Raw genomic sequence first — 21,482 nt, forward strand, 5'->3', positions numbered from 1 at the left:
GCACTTGAGGAGCCCTTCAACCCACCGCTGCACTGTGGGAGCCCCTTTCTGGGCCGGCCAAGGCCAGAGCCGGCTCCCTCAGCTTGCAGGGAGGTGTGGAGGGAGAGGCGCGAGCGGGAACCGGGGCTACGCGCGGCGCTTGTGGGCCAGCTGGAGTTCCGGGCGGGCGTGGGCTTGGCGGGCCCTGCACTCGGAGCAGCCGGCCGGCCCTGCGGGCCCTGGGCAATGAGGGGCTTAGCACCTGGGCCAGCAGCTGCGGAGGGTGTACTAGGTCCCCCAGCAGTGCCAGCCCTCTGGCACTGTGCTCGATTTCTCGCTGGGCCTTAGCTGCCTTCCCGTGGGGCAGGGCTCCGGACCTGCAGCCCGCCACGCCTGAGCCTCCCACCCCCTCCATGGGCTCCTGTGCAGCCCGAGTCTCCTCGACGAGGGCCACCCCCTGCTCCACGGCACCCAGTCCCATCGACCACCCAAGGGCTGAGGAGTGCGGGCGCACGCAGGGGACTGGCAGGCAGCTCCACCTGCAGCCCCGGTGCGGGATTCACCGGGTGAAGCCAGCTGGGCTCCTGAATCTGGTGGGGCTTTGGAGAACCTTTACAATCCCTGAGCTAGACATAAATACACCAATCGGCACTCTGTATCTAGCTCAAGGTTTGTAAACACACCAGTCAGCACCCTGTGTCTAGCTCAGGGTTTGTGAGTGCACCAATTGACACTCTGTATCTAGCTGCTCTGGTGGGGCCGTGAAGAACCTTTATGTCTAGCTCAGGGATTGTAAATACACCAATCGGCACTCTGTATCTAGCTCAAGGTTTGTAAACACACCAATCAGCACCCTGTGTCTAGCTCAGGGTTTGTGAGTGCACCAATGGACACTCTGTATCTATCTGCTCTGGTGGGGCCTTGGAGAACCTTTGTGTGGATACTCTGTATCTAATCTGATGGGGACGTGGAGAACCTTTGTATCCAGCTCAGGGATTGTAAACGCACCAATCAGCGCCCTGTCAAAACAGACCACTGGGCTCTACCAATCAGCAGGACGTGGGTGGGGCCAGATAAGAGAATGAAACCAGGCTGCCCCAGCCAGCAGTGGCAACCCGCTTGGGTCCCCTTCCACACTGTGGAAGCTTTGTTCTTTTGCTCTTTGCAATAAATCTTGCTACTGCTCACTCTTTGGGTCCATGCTGCTTTTATGAGCTGTAACACTCACCACGAAGGCCTGCAGCTTCACTCCTGAAGCCAGCGAGACCACGAGCCCGCCGGGAGGAACGAACAACTCCAGATGTGCCGCCTTAAGAGCTGTAACACTCACCGCAAAGGTCTGCAGCTTCACTCCTGAGCCAGCGAGACCACGAACCCACCAGAAGGAAGAAACTCCGAACACATCCGAACATCAGAAGGAACAAACTCCAGACGCACCACCTTAAGAGCTGTAACACTCACCGCAAGGGTCCGCAGTTTCATTCTTGAAGTCAGTGAGACCAAGAACCCACCAATTCCGGACACATTTTGGCGACCCAGATGGGACTTTCGCCTATCACCAAGCGGTGAGACCATCACCTATAGCTGAGCGGTGAGACCATCACCTATAGCTGAGCGGCGAGACCATCACCTATCACCAAGCAGTGAGTACCACGGACCCCTTTCACTTGCTATTCTGTCCTATCTTTCCTTAGAATTCGGGGGCTAAATACCGGGCACCTGTCGGCCAGTTAAAAGTGACTAGCACGGCTGCCGGACTAAAGACATGGGTGTCAGGCTTTCTGGGAAAGGGCTAACAACCCCAACTCTTCAGAGTTGGGACCATTGGTTTGCCTAGCACCAGCTTCCACTTTTCCTGTACTTCTGGGCTGAGCCAAGGGTCGACAGAGAGGAAAGCCATGCAGCTCCAGGGTCCCGACAACAAGTTGGTTGACCCTGCGGCCATGAGTGGAACTCTCAAAGGCCTGTCGCCCAAGTGAGACTCGCCCATCTATCCTATCTATCCTGACCCTTGCCCCCTGGGTCCTAATGCCTGCCAGACAAACTTCCTCTCGCCTCTCTTCTCTGAGGTTAGTCCTGCTTCTAAAAATTGCTACCTGTCTCTGGTGCTTTTCTAGTTTCTCCTATAAGAATGATTTCTAGTATAAACTCCAGGTCTCTGCTACTTTCTGTAGGCACCCGGGCTCACCAATCAGAAAGACACAATTTTTGCCCAAAGCCCCATTGTAGTGGGGACTACCTGGAATTTTAGGATCCCTCCTCAGACTAACAGGCCTAACAAAAGCTATTCCTGAAGCTAGGATATGGGGAGCCTCAGAAATTGTATCCTTCCTATTCATGTAAGCGAGGACAAAAGGTGTCACTCTTCCAATCCTGAAGATCCCTTCCCTCCCTCAGGGCATGGCCCTCCACTTCATTTTTGGGGCATAACATCTTTATAGGAAAGGGGTAAAGTACCAATACTGACAGGAGAATGCTTAGGACTCTGACAGGTTTTTGAGAATGTGTCGGTAAGGGCCACCAAATCCGATTTTTCTCGGTCAGTCCTCCTTGTGGTCTAGGAGGACAGGCAAGGGTGCAGGTTTTCAAGACTGCATCAGTAAGGACCACTAAATCCAACGTTCCTTGGTCCTCCATGTGGTCTGGGAGGAAAACTAGTGTTTCTGTTGCTGCATCGGTGAGCGCAACTATTCCGATCAGCAGGGTCCTGGGACTGTTGCTGGTTCTTGGGCAGGGGTTGTTTCTGCTGCTGCGTCGGTGAGCGCAACTATTCCGATCAGCAGGGTCCAGGGACCTTTGTGGGTTCTTGGGCAGGGGGAGAAACAAACCAAAACTGTGGGCGGTTTTGTCTTTCAGATGGGAAACACTCAGGCATCAACAGGCTCACCCTTGAAATGCATCCTAAGCCATTGGGACCAATTTGATCCACAAACCTTGAAAAAGAGGCGGCTCATTTTTTTCTGCACTATGGCTTGGGCCCAATATTCTCTCTCTGATGAGGAAAAATGGCCACCTGAGGGAAGTACAAATTACAATACTATCCTGCAGCTTGACCTTTTCTGTAAGAGGGAAGGCAAATGGAGTGAAATACCTTATGTCCAAGCTTTCTTTTCATTGAAGGTGAATACACAACTATGCAAAGCTTGCAATTTACATCCCACAGGAGGACCTTTCAGCTTACCCCCATATCCTAGCCTCCCTATAGCTCCCCTTCCTATGAATGATAATCCTCCTCTAATCTCCCCTGCCCAGAAGGAAATAAGCAAAGAAATCTCCAAAGGTCCACAAAAACCCCCAGGCTATCGGTTATGTCCCCTTAAGCTGTAGGGGGAGGGGAATTTGGCCCAACCCAGCTACATGTCCCCTTCTCCCTCTCTGATTTAAAGCAGGTCAAGGCAGACCTGGGGAAGTTTTCAGATGATCCTGATAGGTACATAGATTTCCTACAGGGTCTAGGGCAAACCTTTTACCTCATTTGGAGAGATGTCATGCTACTGTTAGATAAAACCCTGGCCTTTAAGGAAAAGAATGTGGCTTTAGCTGCAGCCCGAGAGCTTGGAGATACCTGGTATCTTAGTCAAGTAAATGATAGAATGACAGCCGAAGAAAGGGACAAATTCCCTACCGGTCAGCAAGCCATCCCCAGTATGGATCCCCACTGGGACCTTGACTCAGATCATGGGGACTGGAGTTGTAAACATCTGTTGACCTGTGTTCTAGAAGGACTAAGGAGAATTAGAAAAAGCCCATGAATTATTCCATGATATCCACCATAACTCAGGGAAAAGAAGAAAATCCTCCTGCCTTCCTTGAGTGGCTACGAGAGGCCTTAAGAAAATATACTCCCCTGTCACCCGAATCACTCGAGGGTCAATTGATTCTGAAAGATAAGTTTATTACCCAATCAGCCTCAGATATCAGGAGAAAGCTCCAAAAGCAAGCCCTGGGCCCTGAACAAAACCTAGAGTCATTATTAAACCTGGCAACCTCAGTGTTCTATAATAGGGACCAAGAGGAACAGGCCCAAAAGGAAAAGCGAGATCAGAGAAAGGCTGCAGCCTTAGTCATGGCCCTCAGACAAGCAAACCTTGGTGGTTCAGAGAGGACAGAAAATGGAGCAGGCCAATCACCTGGTAGGGCTTGTTATCAGTGTGGTTTACTAGGACACTTTAAAAAAGATTGTCCAATGAGAAACAAGCTGCCCCCTTGTCCATGTCCACTATGCTGAGGCAATCACTGGAAGGTGCACTGCCCCAGAGGACGAAGGTTCCCTGGGTCAGAAGCCCCCAACCAGATGATCCAACAACAGGACTGAGGGGGCCCAGGGCAAGTGCCAGCTCATGTCATCACCCTCACTGATCCCCAGGTATGTTCAACTATTGAGGGCCAGGAAATTGACTTCCTCCTGGACACTGGCGCCGCCTTCTCAGTGTTAATCTCCTGTCCTGGACGACTGTCCTCAAGGTCCGTTACCATCCGAGGAATCCTGGGACAGCCTGTAACCAGGTATTTCTCCCACCTCCTCAGTTGTAATTGGGAGACTTGGCTCTTTTCACATGCCTTTCTTGTTATGCCTGAAAGTCCCACACCCTTATTAGGGAGGGATATATTAGCCAAGGCTGGAGCTATTATCTACATGAATATGGGGAACAAGTTACCCATTTGTTGTCCCCTACATGAGGAGGGAATCAACCCTGAAGTCTGGGAATTAGAAGGACAGTTTGGAAGGGCAAAAAAATGCCTGCCCAGTCCAAATCAAGTTAAAAGATCCCACCACTTTTCCTTATCAAAGGCAATATCCCTTAAGGCCTGAAGTTCATAAAGGATTACAGAATATTGTTAAACATTTGAAAGCTCCAGGCTTAGTAAGGAAATGCAGCAGTCACTGCAACACCCCAATTCTAGGAGTACAAAAACCGAACGGTCAGTGGAGACTAGTGCAAGATCTTAGACTCATTAATGAGGCAGTAGTTCCACTATATCCAGTTGTACCCAACCCCTATACCCTGCTCTCTCAAACACCAGAGGAAGCAGAATGGTTCATGGTTCTGGACCTCAAGGATGCCTTCTTCTGTATTCCCCTGCACTCTGACTCCCAGTTCCTCTTTGCTTTTGAGGATCCCACAGACCACACGTCCCAAATTACGTGGATGGTCTTGCCCCAAGGGTTTAGGGATAGCCCTTATCTGTTTGGTCAGGCACTGGCCCAAGATCTAGGCCACTTCTCAAGTCGAGGCACTCTGGTCCTTCAATATGCAGATGATTTACTTTTCGCTACCAGTTCAGAAGCCTCATGCCAGCAGGCTACTCTAGACCTCTTGAACTTTCTAGCTAATCAAAGGTACAAGGTGTCTAGGTCGAAGGCCCAGCTTTCCCTACAGCAGGTCAAATATCTAGGCCTAATCTTAGCCAGAGGGACCAGGGCCCTCAGCAAGGAACAAATACAGCCTATACTGGCTTATTCTCACCCTAAGACTTTAAAACAGTTGAGGGGGTTCCTTGGAATTACCGGCTTTGCCAACTATGGATCCCCGGATACAGTGAGATAGCCAGGCCCCTCTATACTCCAATCAAGGAAACCCAGAGGGCAAATACTCATCTAGTAGAATGGGAACCAGAGGCAGAAACAGCCTTCAAAACCTTAAAGCCGGCCCTAGTACAAGCTCCAGCTTTAAGCCTTCCCACAGGACAGAACTTCTCTTTATACGTCACAGAGAGAGCCAGGATAGCTCTTGGAGTCCTTACTCAGACTCGTGGGACAACCCCACAACCAGTGGCATACCTAAGTAAGGAAATTGATGTAGTAGCAAAAGGCTGGCCTCACTGTTTAAGGGTAGTTGCAGCAGTGGCCGTCTTAGCGTCAGAGGCTATCAAAATAATACAAGGAAAGCATCTCACTGTCTGGACTACTCATGATGTAAATGGCATACTAGGTGCCAAAGGAAGTTTATGGCTATCAGACAACCACCTACTTAGATACCAGGTACTACTCCTTGAGGGACCGGTGCTTCAAATACACATGTGTGTGGCCCTCAACCCTGCCACTTTTCTCCCAGAGGATGGGGAACCAATTGAGCATGACTGCCAACAAATTATAGTCCAGACTTATGCCGCCCGAGATGATCTCTTAGAAGTCCCCTTAACTAATCCTGACCTTAACCTATATACCAATGGAAGTTCAGTTGTGGAGAATGGGACACGAAGGGCAGGTTACGCCATAGTTAGTGATGTAACCATACTTGAAAGTAAGCCTCTTGCCCCAGGGATCAGTACCCAGTTAGCAGAACTAGTGGCACTTACCCAAGCCTTAAAACTGGGAAAGGGAAAAAGAATAAATGTGTATACAGATAGCAAGTATGCTTATCTAATCCTACATGCCTATGCTGCAATATGGAAATAGGGAGTTCCTAACCTCTGGGGAAACCCCCATTAAATACCACAAGGAAATTATAGAGTTATTGCACACAATGCAAAAACACAAAGAGGTGGGAATCTTACACTGACAAAGCCATCAAAATGGGAAGGAGAGGGGAGAACAGCAACATAAGCAGCTGGCAGAGGCAGCAGAAAGGAAGGAAGAGACAGGAAGTCAAAGAAAGAGACAGAGAGTAAGAAACAAAGAGAAGCAGTCAGAGTGAAAGAGAGACAGAAAGACAAAGTCAAGGAGAGAAAAAGAGATGGAAGTAGTAAAGAAAAAACAGTGTACCCTATTCCTTTAAAAGCCGGGGTAAACGTCTATCTACCCAGCCAAGGCATATTCTACTTATGTGGATCTTCAACCCATATCTGCCTCTCAGACAGTTTGCAAGAAATAACGAAATCTATCCTTACTTTACAATCCCAAATAGACTCTTTGGCAGCAGTGACTCTCCAAAACTACCGAGGCCTAGACCTCCTCACTGCTGAGAAAGGAGGACTCTGCACCTTCTTAGGGGAAGAGTGTTGTTTTTACACTAACCAGTCAGGGATAGTACAAGATGCTGCCCAGCGTTTACAGGAAAAGGCTTCTGAAATCAGACAACGCCTTTCAAATTCTTATACCAACCTCTGGAGTTGGGCAACATGGCTTCTCCCCTTTCTAGGTCCCGTGGTAGCCATCTTGCTGTTACTCGCCTTTAGGCCCTGTATTTTTAACCTTCTTGTCAAATTTGTTTCCTCTAGAATCAAGGCCATCAAGCTACAGATGGGCTTACAAATGGAACCCAAAATGAGTTCAACTAACAACTTCTACCAAGGGCCCCTGGACCGACCCACTGGCACTTCCCCTGGCCTAGAGTTCCCCTCTGAAGGACACTACAACTGCAAGGCCCCTTCTTCACCCCATCCAGCAGGAAGTAGCTAGAGCGGTCATCGGCCAAATTCCCAACAGCAGTTGGGGTGTCCTGTTTAGAGGGGGGATTGAGAGGTGACAGCATGCTGGCAGTCCTCAGCCCTCACTCACTCTTGGCACCTCCTCTGCCCGGGCTCCCACTTTGGTGGCACTTGAGGAGCGCTTCAGCCCACCGCTGCACTGTGGGAGCCCCTTTCTGGGCTGGCCAAGGCCAGAGCCGGCTCCCTCAGCTTCCAGGGAGGTGTGGAGGGAGAGGCTCAAGCGGGAACTGGGGCTGCGTGCGGCGCTTGCGGGCCAGCTGGAGTTCCGGGCGGGCGTGGGCTTGGCGGGCCCTGCACTCAGAGCAGCCAGCCGGCCCTGCCGGCCCCGGGCAGTGAGGGGCTTAGTACCTGGGCCAGCAGCTGTGAAGGGTGTACTGGGTCCCCCAGCAGTGCCAGCCCACCGGCGCTGCACTCGATTTCTCACCGGGCCTTAGCCGCCTTCCCATGGGGCAGGGCTTGGGACCTGCAGCCCGCCATGCCTGAGCCTCCCACACCCCCTCCATGGGCTCCTGTGCGGCCCGAGCCTCCTCGACGAGCGCCACCCCCTGCTCCACGGCACCCAGTCCCATCGACCACCCAAGGGCTGAGGAGTGCGGGCGCACGCAGGGGACTGGCAGGCAGCTCCACCTGCAGCCCCGGTGCGGGATTCACCGGGTGAAGCCAGCTGGGCTCCTGAATCTGGTGGGGCTTTGGAGAACCTTTACAATCCCTGAGCTAGACATAAATACACCAATCGGCACTCTGTATCTAGCTCAAGGTTTGTAAACACACCAGTCAGCACCCTGTGTCTAGCTCAGGGTTTGTGAGTGCACCAATTGACACTCTGTATCTAGCTGCTCTGGTGGGGCCGTGAAGAACCTTTATGTCTAGCTCAGGGATTGTAAATACACCAATCGGCACTCTGTATCTAGCTCAAGGTTTGTAAACACACCAATCAGCACCCTGTGTCTAGCTCAGGGTTTGTGAGTGCACCAATGGACACTCTGTATCTATCTGCTCTGGTGGGGCCTTGGAGAACCTTTGTGTGGATACTCTGTATCTAATCTGATGGGGACGTGGAGAACCTTTGTATCCAGCTCAGGGATTGTAAACGCACCAATCAGCGCCCTGTCAAAACAGACCACTGGGCTCTACCAATCAGCAGGACGTGGGTGGGGCCAGATAAGAGAATGAAACCAGGCTGCCCCAGCCAGCAGTGGCAACCCGCTTGGGTCCCCTTCCACACTGTGGAAGCTTTGTTCTTTTGCTCTTTGCAATAAATCTTGCTACTGCTCACTCTTTGGGTCCATGCTGCTTTTATGAGCTGTAACACTCACCACGAAGGCCTGCAGCTTCACTCCTGAAGCCAGCGAGACCACGAGCCCGCCGGGAGGAACGAACAACTCCAGATGTGCCGCCTTAAGAGCTGTAACACTCACCGCAAAGGTCTGCAGCTTCACTCCTGAGCCAGCGAGACCACGAACCCACCAGAAGGAAGAAACTCCGAACACATCCGAACATCAGAAGGAACAAACTCCAGACACACCACCTTAAGAGCTGTAACACTCACCGCAAGGGTCCGCAGTTTCATTCTTGAAGTCAGTGTGACCAAGAACCCACCAATTCCAGACACATTAGCACTGGCTCCTTTTTTTTTTAGACGGAGTCTCGCTCTTTTGCCCAGGCCGGAGTGCAGTGGCGCGATCTCGGCTCACTGCAAGCTCCGCCTCCCAGGTTCATACCATTCTCCTGCCCCAGACTCCCGAGTAGCTGGGACTACAGGCACCCGCCACTGAACCTGGTTAATTTTTTGTATTTTTAGTAGAGATGGGGTTTCACCGTGTTAGCCAGGATGGTCGCTATCTCCTGACCTCATGATCCGCCAGCCTCGGCCTCCCAAAGTGCTGGGATTACAGGGGTGAACCACCGCGCCCGGCCTCACTCCTTTTTAATTACGCAAATATCTCTAGCAAGTGGTTGCTCCACAGCCTGCTTGTATCCCTCTTTTGAGAAAGCTTTTTCTTTCTTTGCCACATGGGCAGACTACAAAATTTCCAAACTTTTATATTCTGCTTCCCTTTTAAATGTAAGCTCCAACTTTCTTCATCATTTCCATCTGAGACTCAGCAGCTTGGATCTCGCTGTCCATATCACTATCAGCATTTTGGTCACAACAATTTAACCAGTCTCTAAGAAGTTTTAAACCTTCCCTCATCTTCCTGTCTTTTTCTGAGCCTTCCAAACTCTTTCAGCCTCTGCCTGTTACATAGTTCCAAAATGACTTCCACATTTTCAGGTATCTTTATAGTAATTCCCCACCCCGGTGCCAATTTTCTCTTAGATTGCTATACAGAAATAGCTGAGACTGGGTAATTTATAAGAAAAGAGGTTTAATTGGCTCATGGTTCTACAGGCTGTACAGGAAGCATAGCAGCATCTGCTTCTGGGGAGGCCTCAGGAAACTTCCAATCGTGGCAGAAGGCAAAGGGGAAGCAGGCACATCACATGGTGAAAGCAGGAACAAGGTCAGGGGGCAGATGCTACACACTTTTAAATGACTAGATCTCGAGAGAACTGAAAAGACAGTACCAAGCTATGAGGGATCCACCCCCATGATCCAAACACCTCTGGGCAGGCCCCACATTCAGCACTGGGGATTACAATTCAACATGAGATGTGGGTGGGGACAAATATCCAAACTATAACAGCCTATAATTCACATTTTATCATCAAAGGAGCAAATATTATTCTTGGGGCAAAACTGAGTAAATATTGTCGTCCCACATGGATGTGAACTATTTCTAGTCTCTTTCCTGATAGAAGTAGGGGAAAAAATGCATTTACTAAATCAGTGGCTGTGTATTATGTACCTCACACTTAGTACCCCTACTGTGTGCAGTCATTGAGTGGAAGTAAACCAGAAAGTGGCCTCAGTGTGAGAACTGAGGTGGATCCAAAAATGGCAGCTGGCTGGGCATGATGGCTCACACCTGTAATCCTAGCACTTTGAGAGCCCAAGGCAGGCAAATCACTTGAGGTCAGGAGTTTGAAACCAGACTAGCCAACATGGTGAAACCCTTTCTCTACTAAAAATACAAAAAATTAGCCAGGCGTGGCCGGGCACAGTGGCTCATGCCTGTAATCCCAGCACTTTGGGAGGCCGATGCAGGCAGATCACCTGAGGTCAGGAGTTCGAGACCAGCCTGACCAACACAGTGAAACCCCGTCTCTACTAAAAATACAAAAACTAGCTGGGCATGGTGGCTCGCCACTGTAGTCCCAGCTACTCAGGAGGCTGAGGCAGGAGAATCACTTGAACCTGGGAGACGGAGGTTGTAATGAGCCAAGATTGCACCACTGCACTCTAGCTCGGGCTACGGAGCAAGAATCTGTCTCAAAAAAAAAAGAAAGAAAGAAAGAAAGAAAGAAAGAAAGAAAGAAAGAAAGAAAAAGAAAAAATTAGCCAAACATGGTGGTTCATGCTTGTAACCCCAGCTACTCAGGAGGCTGAAGCAGGAGAATCGCTTGAACCTGGCAGGCAGAGGTTGCAGTGAGCTGAGATTGTACCACTGCACTTCAACCTGGGCAACAGAGTGAGACTCCATCCCCACTCCCCCACAAAAAAAACAGCAGCTAGAGGCTGGCCAGGGAACTATGTTTCTCATAGAGGCCTGCCTGCCTGCCTGCCTTCCTTCCTTCCTTCTTTCCTTCCTTCTCTGTTTTTCTTTGACATGAATTAAAAAATAATTTTCATTATGTATGCATTAACATTGTTTTACTGTGGCAAGAACACCTAACATGAGTTCTACTCAATGGCATTTTAAGCGCACAATGCAGTATTGTCATCTACAGGCACAATATTGTATAGCAGAGCTCTAGAATTCACCTTGCATAATTGAAATGTTATATCCATTGATTAGCAACTTCCCATTTCCTGCAACCACCATTCTACTCTCTGTTTCTATAAGTTTGAGTATTTTAGAGACCTCATATAAGTGGAGTCATGGAGTATTTATCCTTCTGGGACTGGCTTATTCTCTTAGCATAATGTCCTCAAGTTCATTATGTTGTTGCATATTGCAGGATTTCCTTTTTTAAAGCTGAATAATATTCCATGTGTGTATATACTACATTTTTTAAATCCATTCATTGGTCAATAGACTTTAGGTTGTTTCCAGTCCTTGGCTAAGAATAGTGCTGCAAATGAACACGGAAGGGCAGACATCCAAGATCTCGATTTCAAGTTTTGTGTGTGTATTTGTTTGTTTGTTTGTTTGTTTTTTGATAAATACCCAGAAGTAGTATTGCTGAATCATATCGTAGTTGTATTTTTGGAGAAACTTCCATGCTGTTTTCCATAGCAGCTGCACCATTTTACAGCAGGTTTTCTTAAGGGAGGTCTGGGTGGCATACCTCTATGGCTGTCAAAGCTCACAATGTACAAATAGTTCTCAAGAAGAGAATAAATGAAGGTAAAATCCACTGACACCCCTCCCGTTCTGGTGACCTTACTCCCTACAGAAATCATTGTTAATATTTACTTGCATATACTTCCAAAATTTGTATATCCATTTATAAACATTTCTTAACCCAGTGGGATCATGATATAAGCAGTATTCCCTAACTTAACATTACATCTTGACTGTCTTGCCATACAAGCAGGTATACTGCTGTCTCAATTTTTTAAACAGCAACATAAAATTTTATTATTTGTTTCTACAATAATTTATTTCCTTGGCTTAGTTAAATGAAATAACTCAGTATTCTTCCAATAAATTCTCACTCCCCCCTCCCCCGCCACCATTTTTTGAGACAGGGTCTCACTCTGTCACCCAGGCTAGAGTGCAATGATGTGATCAAAGCTCACTGCAGCCTCAACCTCCTGGGCTCAAGAGATTCTCCTGCTTCACCTTCCTGAGTAGCTGGGACTATAGGCATGCACCACCACACGTGGCTAATTTTGAAAATTTTATTTTTATAGAGGTAGGGTCTTGCTATGTTGCCCAGACTGATCTCAAACTCCTGGCCTCAAGCAATCCTCCCACCTCAGTCTCCCAAAGTACTGGGATTACAGATGTGAGCCACTATGCCTGATGGATTTTTCTCCTTTGCTTACATTTGTAACATGCAGCCACAAAATTCTAATACAAGAAAAGAGAATAGGAGACAGGCACAGTGGCATATTTCTATAGTCCCAGCTATTTGCGAGGCTGAGACAGGAGGGTCACTTGAGTTCAGGAGTTTGAGGCTAGCCTGTGCAACACAGCCATACTGCCCATGGTAATTTATAGATTCAATGTCATCCCCATCAAGCTACCAGTGACTTTCTTCACAGAATTGGAAAAAACTACTTTAAAGTTCATATGGAACCAAAAAAAGAGCCCACATCGCCAAGTCAATCCTAAGCTGAAAGAACAAAGCTGGAGGCATCACACTACGTGATTTAAAACTATACTACAAGGATACAGTAACCAAAACAGCATGGTACTGGCACCAAAACAGAGATATAGACCAATGGAACAGAATAGAGTCCTCAGAAATAATACCACACATCTACGACTGTCTGATCTTTGACAAACCTGACAAAAACAAGAAATGGGGAAAGGATTCCCTATTTAATAAATGGTGCTGGGAAAACTGGCTAGCCATACGTAGAAAGCTGAAACTGGACCCTTTCCTTACACCTTGTACAAAAATTAATTCAAGATGGATTAAAGACTTAAATATTAGACCTAAAACCATAAAAACCCTCGAAGAAAACCTAGGCAATACATGCAGGCCATAGGCATGGGCAAGGACTTCATGACTAAAACACCAAAAACAATGGCAACAAAAGCCAAAATTAACCAATGGGATCTAATTAAACTAAAGAGCTTCTGCACAGCAAAAGAAACTACCATCAGAGTGAACAGGCATCCTACAGAATGAGAGAAAATGTTTACAATAATAATGTCAGATATTAGCCCATCTGACAAAGGGCTAATATCCAGAATCTACAAAGAACTTAAACAAATTTACAAGAAAAAATCAAACAACCCCATCAAAAAGTGGGCAAAGGATATCAACAGACAGTTCTCAAAGGAAGACATTTATGCAGCCAACAGACACATGAAAAAATGCTCATCATCACTGGTCATCAGAGAAATACAAATCAAAACCACAATGAGATACCATCTCACACCAGTTAGAATGGCGATCATTAAAAAGTCAGGAAACAACAGGTGCTGGAGAGGATGTGGAGAAATAGGAACACTTTTACACTGTTGGTGGGACTGTAAACTAATTCAACAATTGTGGAAGACAGTGTGACGATTCCTCAAGGATCTAGAACTAGAAATACCATTTGACCCAGCCATCCCATTACTGGGCATGTACCCAAAGGACTATAAATCATGTGGCTATAAAGACACATGCACGCATATGTTTATTGCAGCACTATTCACAATAGCAAAGACTTGGAACCAATCCAAATGTCCATCAATGATAGAATGGATTAAGAAAATGTGGCACATATACACCATGGAATACTATGCAGCCATAAAAAGATGAGTTCATGTCCTTTGTAGGGACATGGATGAAGCTGGAAACCATCATTCTCAGCAAACTATTGCAAGGACAGAAAACCAAACACTGCATGTTCTCACTCATAGGTGGGAATTGAACAATGAGAACACTTGGGCACAGGGTGGGGAACATCACACACCGGGGCCTGTCGTGGGGTGGGGAAGGGGGGAGGGATAGCATTAGGAGATATACCTAATGTAAATGACGAGTTAATGGGTGCAGCACACCAACATGGCACATGTGTACACATGTAACAAACCTGCACGTTGTGCACATGTGCCCTAGAACTGAAAGTATAATAATAAAAAAAGAAAATTTGGCACATATATACCATGGACTACTATGCAGCCATGAAAAAGGATGAGTTCATGTCCCTTGCAGGGACATGGATGAAGCTGGAAACCATCATTCTAACCAAACTATCACAAGGACAGAAAACCAAACACCATGTGTTCTCACTCATAGGTGGGAATTGAACAATGAGAACACATGGATACAGGGCGGGGAACATCACACACTGGGGCCTGTTGTGGGGTGGTTGGCTGGGGGAGGGATAGCATTAGGAGAAATACCTAATGTAAATGACGAGTTGATGGGTGCAGCAAACCAACATGGCACATGTATACCTATGTAACAAATCCGCACATTGTGTACATGTACCCTAGAACTTAAAGTATAATAAAATAATAATAATAATAATAATAATAATAATAATAATAATAATGCCTTGCTTTCACAAACCAGTAGAAGTTATGGATTGACCTGAGTGACACTAGATCTAGTGAAGGATAGTTGCACCATCGTAGGGATGTAGTAGGATTAAAGAATTGCCAAATCTAATTAACGTCTAGGGAGTATAACGTATCAAAAAGAAAAGTCATTTGTACCAGTTCAATAAAAATCAATTGAATATTTGAACACACACTTGGGGACTGTAATCAAAATCCATTTTTGGTATAATTAGAATATGAGATCATAACGGAAGCATAAAGTCTGCCAATTCAATATTTCCAAAGCAATTTTTATTTCATTATATTCCCCACTTTATACCTAATTCTACAGGAAAACCCATTCAAGTGAAAATACACACCAAGATCAGCCAGTCAAAAACAATATGTATTTATTGGGCACAGATCATAAATATTTCATAAATATTTATATATTCAGTGTATGTGGGCCAGGCACAGTGGCTCATGCCTGTAATCCCAGCACTTTGGGAGGCCGAGGCAGGTGGATCGCCTGAGGTCAGGAGTTCGAGACCAGCCTGGCCAACATAGTAAAACCCTGTCTCTACTAAAAATACAAAAAATTAGCTGGGCATGGTTGGGCACCTGTAATCCCAGCTACTAAGGAGGCTGAGGCAGGAGAATCGCTTGAACCTATGAGGCGGAGGTTGCTGTGAGCTGAGATCATGCCATTGCACTCCAGCCTGGGCAACAAGAGCAAAACTGTCTCAAAAAAAAAAAAAAATTCAGTGTTTGTGTAAGCAGAGTAATTCTAGATCACTTCATGTAAAGCATCTCTGCCAGAAAGCATGAAATATAATGCTCCTAGTCTGGGTTGAACAGAACTAACTCTTGATAACATAAACATATTATGTTATCCCCAGAGCAGATTTCCCAGTTAAGGGCATTTGCCATGAAGTCAAGCAATAAGTAAGACCCACCAAGTCTATTATTTGCACAATAGTCTTTAATAACCCTAGGCCATGGAGCACTTTGGGTCCAGGAATGGCAAGACCAGCAAGAAGATCACTGACTGTGGACAACTCTAATTAAAGTTTGACTTTTTTTTTTTATCTTAATCACCGGAGCATTCCTTCTGCCGCTCTGGAAAGCACCCTCCACCACATTTGGTCGCAGTATCCTAGAATCTTTGTGCTCTCGCTGCAGTTCCCTTTGGGTTCCATATGTTCCTTATTCCCATCCATGCCTAGCTGGATTGCTGCCGAGACCAGCTTGGTCGTGGAGACCCTAACCCAACGGTGCTAGAGGAATTAAAGACACACACACACAGAAATATAGAGTGTGGAGTGGGAAATCCGGGATCTCACAGCCTTCAGAGCCAAGAGCCTTAAACGGAGATTTACCCACATATTTATTGACAGCAAGCCAGTCATAAGATTTACTAAAAGTATTCCTCATGGAAAATGAAGGGATGGGCCGAAATAAAGGGATGAGCCTGGCTAGTTATCCACAGCGTGAACATATGCTTAAGGCACAGATCTCTCATGCTATTGTTAGTGGTTTAAGAATACCTTAAACGGTTTTCCACCCTGGGTGGGCCAGGTGTTCCTTGCCCTCATCCTGGTAAACTGATGACTTTCCAGCATGGGTGTCAAGGCCATCACAAGCATGTCACGACGCTGCAGAGATTTTGTTTATGGCCAGTTTTGGGGCCATTTTATGGCCAGATTTTGGGGCCTGTTCCCAACAGATTGCAGAGTTAAGTTTATGATTATGAAATAAAAACTAAATAATAAAACAAAAAGATAAATTCAGGAGAGAATATTTGTAGGATATAGCAAAACCTAAAAAACGGAGCACAGGACTTAGATCACACCTACAACAATAATACATCATTATGTCAGTATCAAGTGATGCTGTTTCCTGTGCTTTCATAGACATTTTCAAGTAGCCTGCAAAAGAACCCTACATTATATGAAATTAGTATTTTTGGTATTTTCAGAAGAGCACAAGTTATTTGTTTTCCTAAAAAAGTACAGAGCTGCATAGCAGAACATGTGTCCATGTATCCTGATTTCTAGAAAAGAAAAAGAACATTTTGCTGAAAAAGCCACTGTGGGCCGGGCTCAGTGGCTCATGCCTGTAATCCCAGCACTTTGGGAGGCCGAAGCGGGCAGATCACGAGGTCAGGAGATCGAGACCATCCTGGGTAACACGGTGAAACCCCATCTCTACTACAAAAAAAAAAAAAAATCAGCTGGGGGTGGCAGCAGGCGCCTGTAGTCCCAGCTACTCAGGAGGCTGAGGCAGGAGAACGGCGTGAACCCGGGAGGCGGAGCTTTCAGTGAGCTGAGATCGCGCCACTGCACTCCAGCCTGGGCGACACAGCGAGACTCTGTCTCATTTAAAAAAAAAAAAAAGATTTCTCTTTCTGAAACACTTTATACTTTACAGGAAGCACTTCCATCTGTTCTACTACTTCTCCTCCTCTCTCCCATCCCCCAAAATAATACCATCTAATTCAGAAAAATCAGAAAAATGGCTTAGTATAGACAAGGCAGTGTCTCATAGAAGAAATGATATGGCTAGGACTAAAGGAGAAGGACCCTGTCCTTCAAAGAAGAAAGAGAGATTTCTGTTTCTTTGAAAGATTTAAAGTTAGAAGAGTCAGAGGATTTAAAGTTAGAAGAGTAAGAAGAATAAAAGCATAAGAAACATCTGGATGAAAGAGGGTCCCTGAAACTTCTCAGTTGCTTGCTGATTTACATGCCATTAAACTTTTTCTGACAACTGTAACCCAGCTTATAGTCTTTGAAAATGAGTCATATTTATCATCAGTAGCACATATTAGGGACTCAGTCATATGTTATTAAGTAGCATTTCTTTAGTATTTTGTTACTGGACTTTTCATATGTGAATATCTTACGTTCTGAAATGTTTCCCTTGAAGTCAAAGAAAACACCTTCACATATGGTTCCTATAGTGTCTAACATGCTGAAGGTTTGCACAGTCAGGTTTCTTCTGATAAAAAAACAAGCAAACTATATACACATATACAAACTATATACATATATGTGTATAATATTATATGTATATAGTATTATATATATTATATATATGTATATATATACAAACTGTCAGGCCTCTGAGCCCAAGCTAAGCTATCATATCCCCTGTGACCTACACATCCAGGTGGCTTGTTCCTGCCTTAACTGATGACATTCCACCACAAAAGAAGTGAAAATGGCCTGTTCCTGCCTTAACTGATAACATTGTCTTATGAAATTCCTTCTCCTGGCTCACCCTGGCTCAAAAGCTCCCCTACTGAGCACCTTGTGACCCCCATTATGCCCGCCAGAGAACAACTCCCCTTTGACAGTAATTTTCCTTTACCTACCCAAATCCTATAAAACGGCCCCACCCCTATCTCCCTTCACTGACTCTCTTTTCGGACTCAGCCCACCTGCACCCAGGTGATTAAAAGCTTTATTGCTCACACAAAGCCTGTTTGGTGGTCTCTTCACATGGACGTGCATGAAATTTGGTGCCGTGACTCAGATCCGGGGACTTCCCTTGGGAGATCAATCCCCTGTCCTCCTGCTCTTTGCTCTGTGAAAAAGATCCACCTACGACCTCAGGTCCTCAGACCAAGCAGCCCAAGGAACATCTCACCAATTTTAAATCGGGTAAGCGGCCTCTTCTTACTCTCTTCTCCAACCTCTCTCACTGTCCCTCAACCACTTTCTCCTTTCCACTCTTCAATCTCTCCCTTCTCTTAATTTCAATTCCTTTCATTTTCTGGTAAAGACAAAGGAGACACGTTTTATCCATGGACACAAAACTCCGGCGCCGGTCACGGACTAGGGAAGGCAGCCTTCCCTTGGTGTTTAGTCATTGCAGGGACACCTCTCTGATTATTTACACACGTTTCAGAGGTGTCAATGCAGGAGGGACGCCTGCATTGGTCCTTCACCCTTAGCGGCAAGTCCCGCTTTTCTGGGGAAGGGGCAAGTACCCCAACCATTTCTCTCCGTGTCTCTACCCCTTCTCCACCTTTCTGGGGGGCAAGAAACCCCCAACCCCTTCTCCTTCACTCTTAGTGGCAAGTCCCGCTTTTGTAGAGGAGGGGCAAGTACCCCAACCTTGTATCTCTGCGCCCCAATCCCTTATTTCCGTGGCCCAACCTCTTATATCTCTGCGCCCCAATCCCTTATTTCCGTGCCCCGACCTCTTATCTCTGTGCCCCAACCCCTTATTTCCATGCCCCGACCTCTTATCTCTGTGCCCCACCCCTTATTTCCATGCCCCAACCTCTTATCTCTGTGCCCCAACCCCTTATATCTGTGCCCCAACCCCTTTCCCACTTTTCTGGAAGGTAAGAACCCCCGAACCCCTTCCCTCCATGTCTCTACTCTCCCTTTTCTCTAGGCTTGCTTCCTTCACTATGGGCAACCTTCCACCCTCCTTTCCTCCTTCTTCTGCCTTGGCCTGTGTTCTCAAAGACTTAAAACCTCTTCAACTCACACCTGACCTAAAACCTAAATGCCTTATTTTCTTCTGCAATGCTGCTTGACCCCAATACAAACTCAATAGTAGTTCCAAACAGCCGGAAAACGGCACTTTCAATTTTTCCATCCTGCAAGATCTAAATAATTCTTGTCATAAAATGGGCAAACGGTCTGAGGTGCCTGACAACCAGGCATTGTTTTACACATCAGTCCCTCCCTAGTCTCTGTGCCCAGTGCAACTTGTCCCAAATCTTCCTTCTTTCCCTCCTGCCTGTCCCCTCAGTACCAATCCCAAGTGTCGCTGAGTCTTTCTAATCTTCCTTTTCTACAGACCCATCTGACCTCTCCCTTCCTCCCCAGGCTGCTCCTCGCCAGGCCGAGCTAGGTCCCAATTCTTGCTCAGCCTCTGCTCCTCCACCCTATAATCCTTTTATCACCTCCCCTCCTCACACCTGGTCCGGCTTACAGTTTCGTTCCATGACTAGCCCTCCCCCACCTGCCCAGAAATTTACTCTTAAAAAGGTGGCTGGAGCTAAAGGCATATAGTCAAGGTTAATGCGCCATTTTCTTTATCCCAAATCAGATAGTGTTTAGGCTCTTTTTCATCAAATATAAAAACTCAGCCCAGTTCATGGCTCGTTCAGCAGCAACCCTGAGACGCTTTACAGCCCTAGACCCTAAAAGGTCAAAAGGCCGTCTTATTCTCAATATACATTTTATTACCCAATCTGCTCCCGACATTAAATAAAACTCCAAAAATTAAATTCCAGCCCTCAAACCCCACAACAGGATTTAATTAACCTTGCCTTCAAGGTGTACAATAATAGAAAAAAGTTGCAATTCTTTGCCTCCACTGTGAGACAAACCCCAGCCACATCTCCAGCACACAAGAACTTCCAAATGCCTGAACCACAGTGTCCAGGCATTCCTCCAGAACCTCCTCCGGCAGGAGCTTGTACAAGTGCCAGAAATCTGACCACCAGGCCAAGGAATGCCTGCAGCCCAGGATTCCTCCTAAGCCGTGTCCCATCTGTGCAGGACCCCATTGGAAATCAGACTGTTCAACTCACCTGGCAGCCGCTCCCAGAGCCCCTGGAACTCTGGCCCAAGGCTGTCTGACTGACTCCTTCTCGGCTTAGCAGCTGAAGACTGACGCTGCCCGATTGCCTCGGAAGCTCCGTAGACCATCACGGATGCCGAGCTTCGGGTAACTCTCACAGTGGAAGTTAAGTCTGTCCCCTTAGTCAATACGGAGGCTACCCACTCCACATTACCTTCTTTTCAAGGGCCTGTTTCCCTTGCCTCCATAACTGTTGTGGGTATTGACGGCCAGGCTTCTAAACCCCTGAAAACTCCCCCACTCTGGTGCCAACTAGGACAACACTCTTATGCACTCTTTTTTAGTTATCCCCACCTGCCCAGTTCCCTTATTAGGCCAAGATATTTTAACCAAATTATCTGCTTCCCTGACTATTCCTGGGCTACAGCCACATCTCATTGCTGCCCCTCTCCCCAACCCAAAGCCTCCTTCGCGTCTTCCTCTCATATCCCCCCACCTTAACCCACAAGTATGGGACATCTCTACTTCCCTGGCAACCGATCACATGGCCGTTACCATCTCATTAAAACCTAATCACCCTTACCCCGCTCAACGCCAATATCCCATCCCACAGCACGCTTTAAAAGGATTAAAGCCTGTTATCACTCGCCTGCTACAGCATGGGCTTCTAAAACCTATAAACTCTCCTTACAATTCCCCCATTTTACCTGTCCGAAAACTGGACAAGTCTTACAGATTAGTTCAGGATCTGCGCCTTATCAGCCAAATTGTTTTGCCTATCCACCCTGTGCTGCCCAACCCGTACACTCTTTTGTCCTCAATACCTTCCTCCACAACTCACTGTTCCGTGCTTGATCTTAAAGATGCTTTTTTCACTATTCCCCTGCACCTCTCGTCCCAGCCTCTCTTCGCTTTCACTTAGACTGACCCTGACACCCATTAGGCTCAGCAAATTACCTAGGCTGTACTGCTGCAAGGCTTAGTAGACAGCCCCCATTACTTCAGTCAAGCCCAAATTTCATCCTCATCTGTTACCTATCTCGGCATAATTCTCATAAAAACACACGTGCTCTCCCTGCTGATCATGTCCGATTAATCTCCCAAACTTCAATCCCTTACAAAACAACAACTCCTTTCCTTCCTAGGCATGGTTAGCGCAGTCAGAATTCTTACACAAGAGACAGGACCACACCCTGTAGCCTTTCTGTCCAAACAACTTGACCTTACTGTTTTAGCCTAGCCCTCATGTCTGCATGCAGCGGCTGCTGCTGCTTTAATACTTTTAGAGGCCCTCAAAATCACAAACTATGCTCAACTCACTCTCTACAGCTCTCA

At 46.9% G+C, this 21,482-nt stretch overlaps 2 long non-coding RNA genes across 2 annotated transcripts in view, besides 8 other annotated features; one reads left to right on the plus strand and one right to left on the minus strand.

The window, feature by feature from the left end:
* Window positions 1-21,482, minus strand: part of A2ML1-AS1 (A2ML1 antisense RNA 1) — a 55,096-nt gene that overhangs the window by 10,954 nt on the left and 22,660 nt on the right. The gene's annotated exons all lie outside the window — the stretch shown is intronic.
* Window positions 441-980: an enhancer, noted in NCBI's record as "NANOG-H3K27ac-H3K4me1 hESC enhancer chr12:8940201-8940740 (GRCh37/hg19 assembly coordinates)". NCBI's record gives its function as "activates a minimal SCP1, AML or CMV promoter by ChIP-STARR-seq in naive H9 embryonic stem cells {active_cell/tissue: H9 hESC(naive)}" and the evidence as "EXISTENCE:reporter gene assay evidence [ECO:0000049][PMID:30033119]".
* Window positions 981-1,520: an enhancer, noted in NCBI's record as "NANOG-H3K27ac-H3K4me1 hESC enhancer chr12:8940741-8941280 (GRCh37/hg19 assembly coordinates)". NCBI's record gives its function as "activates a minimal SCP1, AML or CMV promoter by ChIP-STARR-seq in naive H9 embryonic stem cells {active_cell/tissue: H9 hESC(naive)}" and the evidence as "EXISTENCE:reporter gene assay evidence [ECO:0000049][PMID:30033119]".
* Window positions 1,089-11,085, plus strand: LINC02972 (long intergenic non-protein coding RNA 2972). The gene is made up of 3 exons (NR_186118.1): window positions 1,089-1,596; window positions 7,141-9,063; window positions 10,634-11,085. It is a non-coding gene; the product is annotated as a long intergenic non-protein coding RNA 2972 (long non-coding RNA).
* Window positions 1,521-2,060: an enhancer, noted in NCBI's record as "NANOG-H3K27ac-H3K4me1 hESC enhancer chr12:8941281-8941820 (GRCh37/hg19 assembly coordinates)". NCBI's record gives its function as "activates a minimal SCP1, AML or CMV promoter by ChIP-STARR-seq in naive H9 embryonic stem cells {active_cell/tissue: H9 hESC(naive)}" and the evidence as "EXISTENCE:reporter gene assay evidence [ECO:0000049][PMID:30033119]".
* Window positions 2,139-2,816: an enhancer, noted in NCBI's record as "NANOG-H3K27ac hESC enhancer chr12:8941899-8942576 (GRCh37/hg19 assembly coordinates)". NCBI's record gives its function as "activates a minimal SCP1, AML or CMV promoter by ChIP-STARR-seq in primed H9 embryonic stem cells {active_cell/tissue: H9 hESC(primed)}" and the evidence as "EXISTENCE:reporter gene assay evidence [ECO:0000049][PMID:30033119]".
* Window positions 2,817-3,494: an enhancer, noted in NCBI's record as "NANOG-H3K27ac hESC enhancer chr12:8942577-8943254 (GRCh37/hg19 assembly coordinates)". NCBI's record gives its function as "activates a minimal SCP1, AML or CMV promoter by ChIP-STARR-seq in primed H9 embryonic stem cells {active_cell/tissue: H9 hESC(primed)}" and the evidence as "EXISTENCE:reporter gene assay evidence [ECO:0000049][PMID:30033119]".
* Window positions 8,198-8,808: an enhancer, noted in NCBI's record as "H3K27ac hESC enhancer chr12:8947958-8948568 (GRCh37/hg19 assembly coordinates)". NCBI's record gives its function as "activates a minimal SCP1, AML or CMV promoter by ChIP-STARR-seq in naive H9 embryonic stem cells {active_cell/tissue: H9 hESC(naive)}" and the evidence as "EXISTENCE:reporter gene assay evidence [ECO:0000049][PMID:30033119]".
* Window positions 17,821-18,528: an enhancer, noted in NCBI's record as "NANOG-H3K27ac-H3K4me1 hESC enhancer chr12:8957581-8958288 (GRCh37/hg19 assembly coordinates)". NCBI's record gives its function as "activates a minimal SCP1, AML or CMV promoter by ChIP-STARR-seq in naive H9 embryonic stem cells {active_cell/tissue: H9 hESC(naive)}" and the evidence as "EXISTENCE:reporter gene assay evidence [ECO:0000049][PMID:30033119]".
* Window positions 19,235-19,942: an enhancer, noted in NCBI's record as "H3K27ac hESC enhancer chr12:8958995-8959702 (GRCh37/hg19 assembly coordinates)". NCBI's record gives its function as "activates a minimal SCP1, AML or CMV promoter by ChIP-STARR-seq in primed H9 embryonic stem cells {active_cell/tissue: H9 hESC(primed)}" and the evidence as "EXISTENCE:reporter gene assay evidence [ECO:0000049][PMID:30033119]".

The sequence above is a fragment of the Homo sapiens genome, chromosome 12 (genome assembly GCF_000001405.40).
Source record: "Homo sapiens chromosome 12, GRCh38.p14 Primary Assembly".
Lineage (NCBI taxonomy): Eukaryota > Metazoa > Chordata > Mammalia > Primates > Hominidae > Homo > Homo sapiens.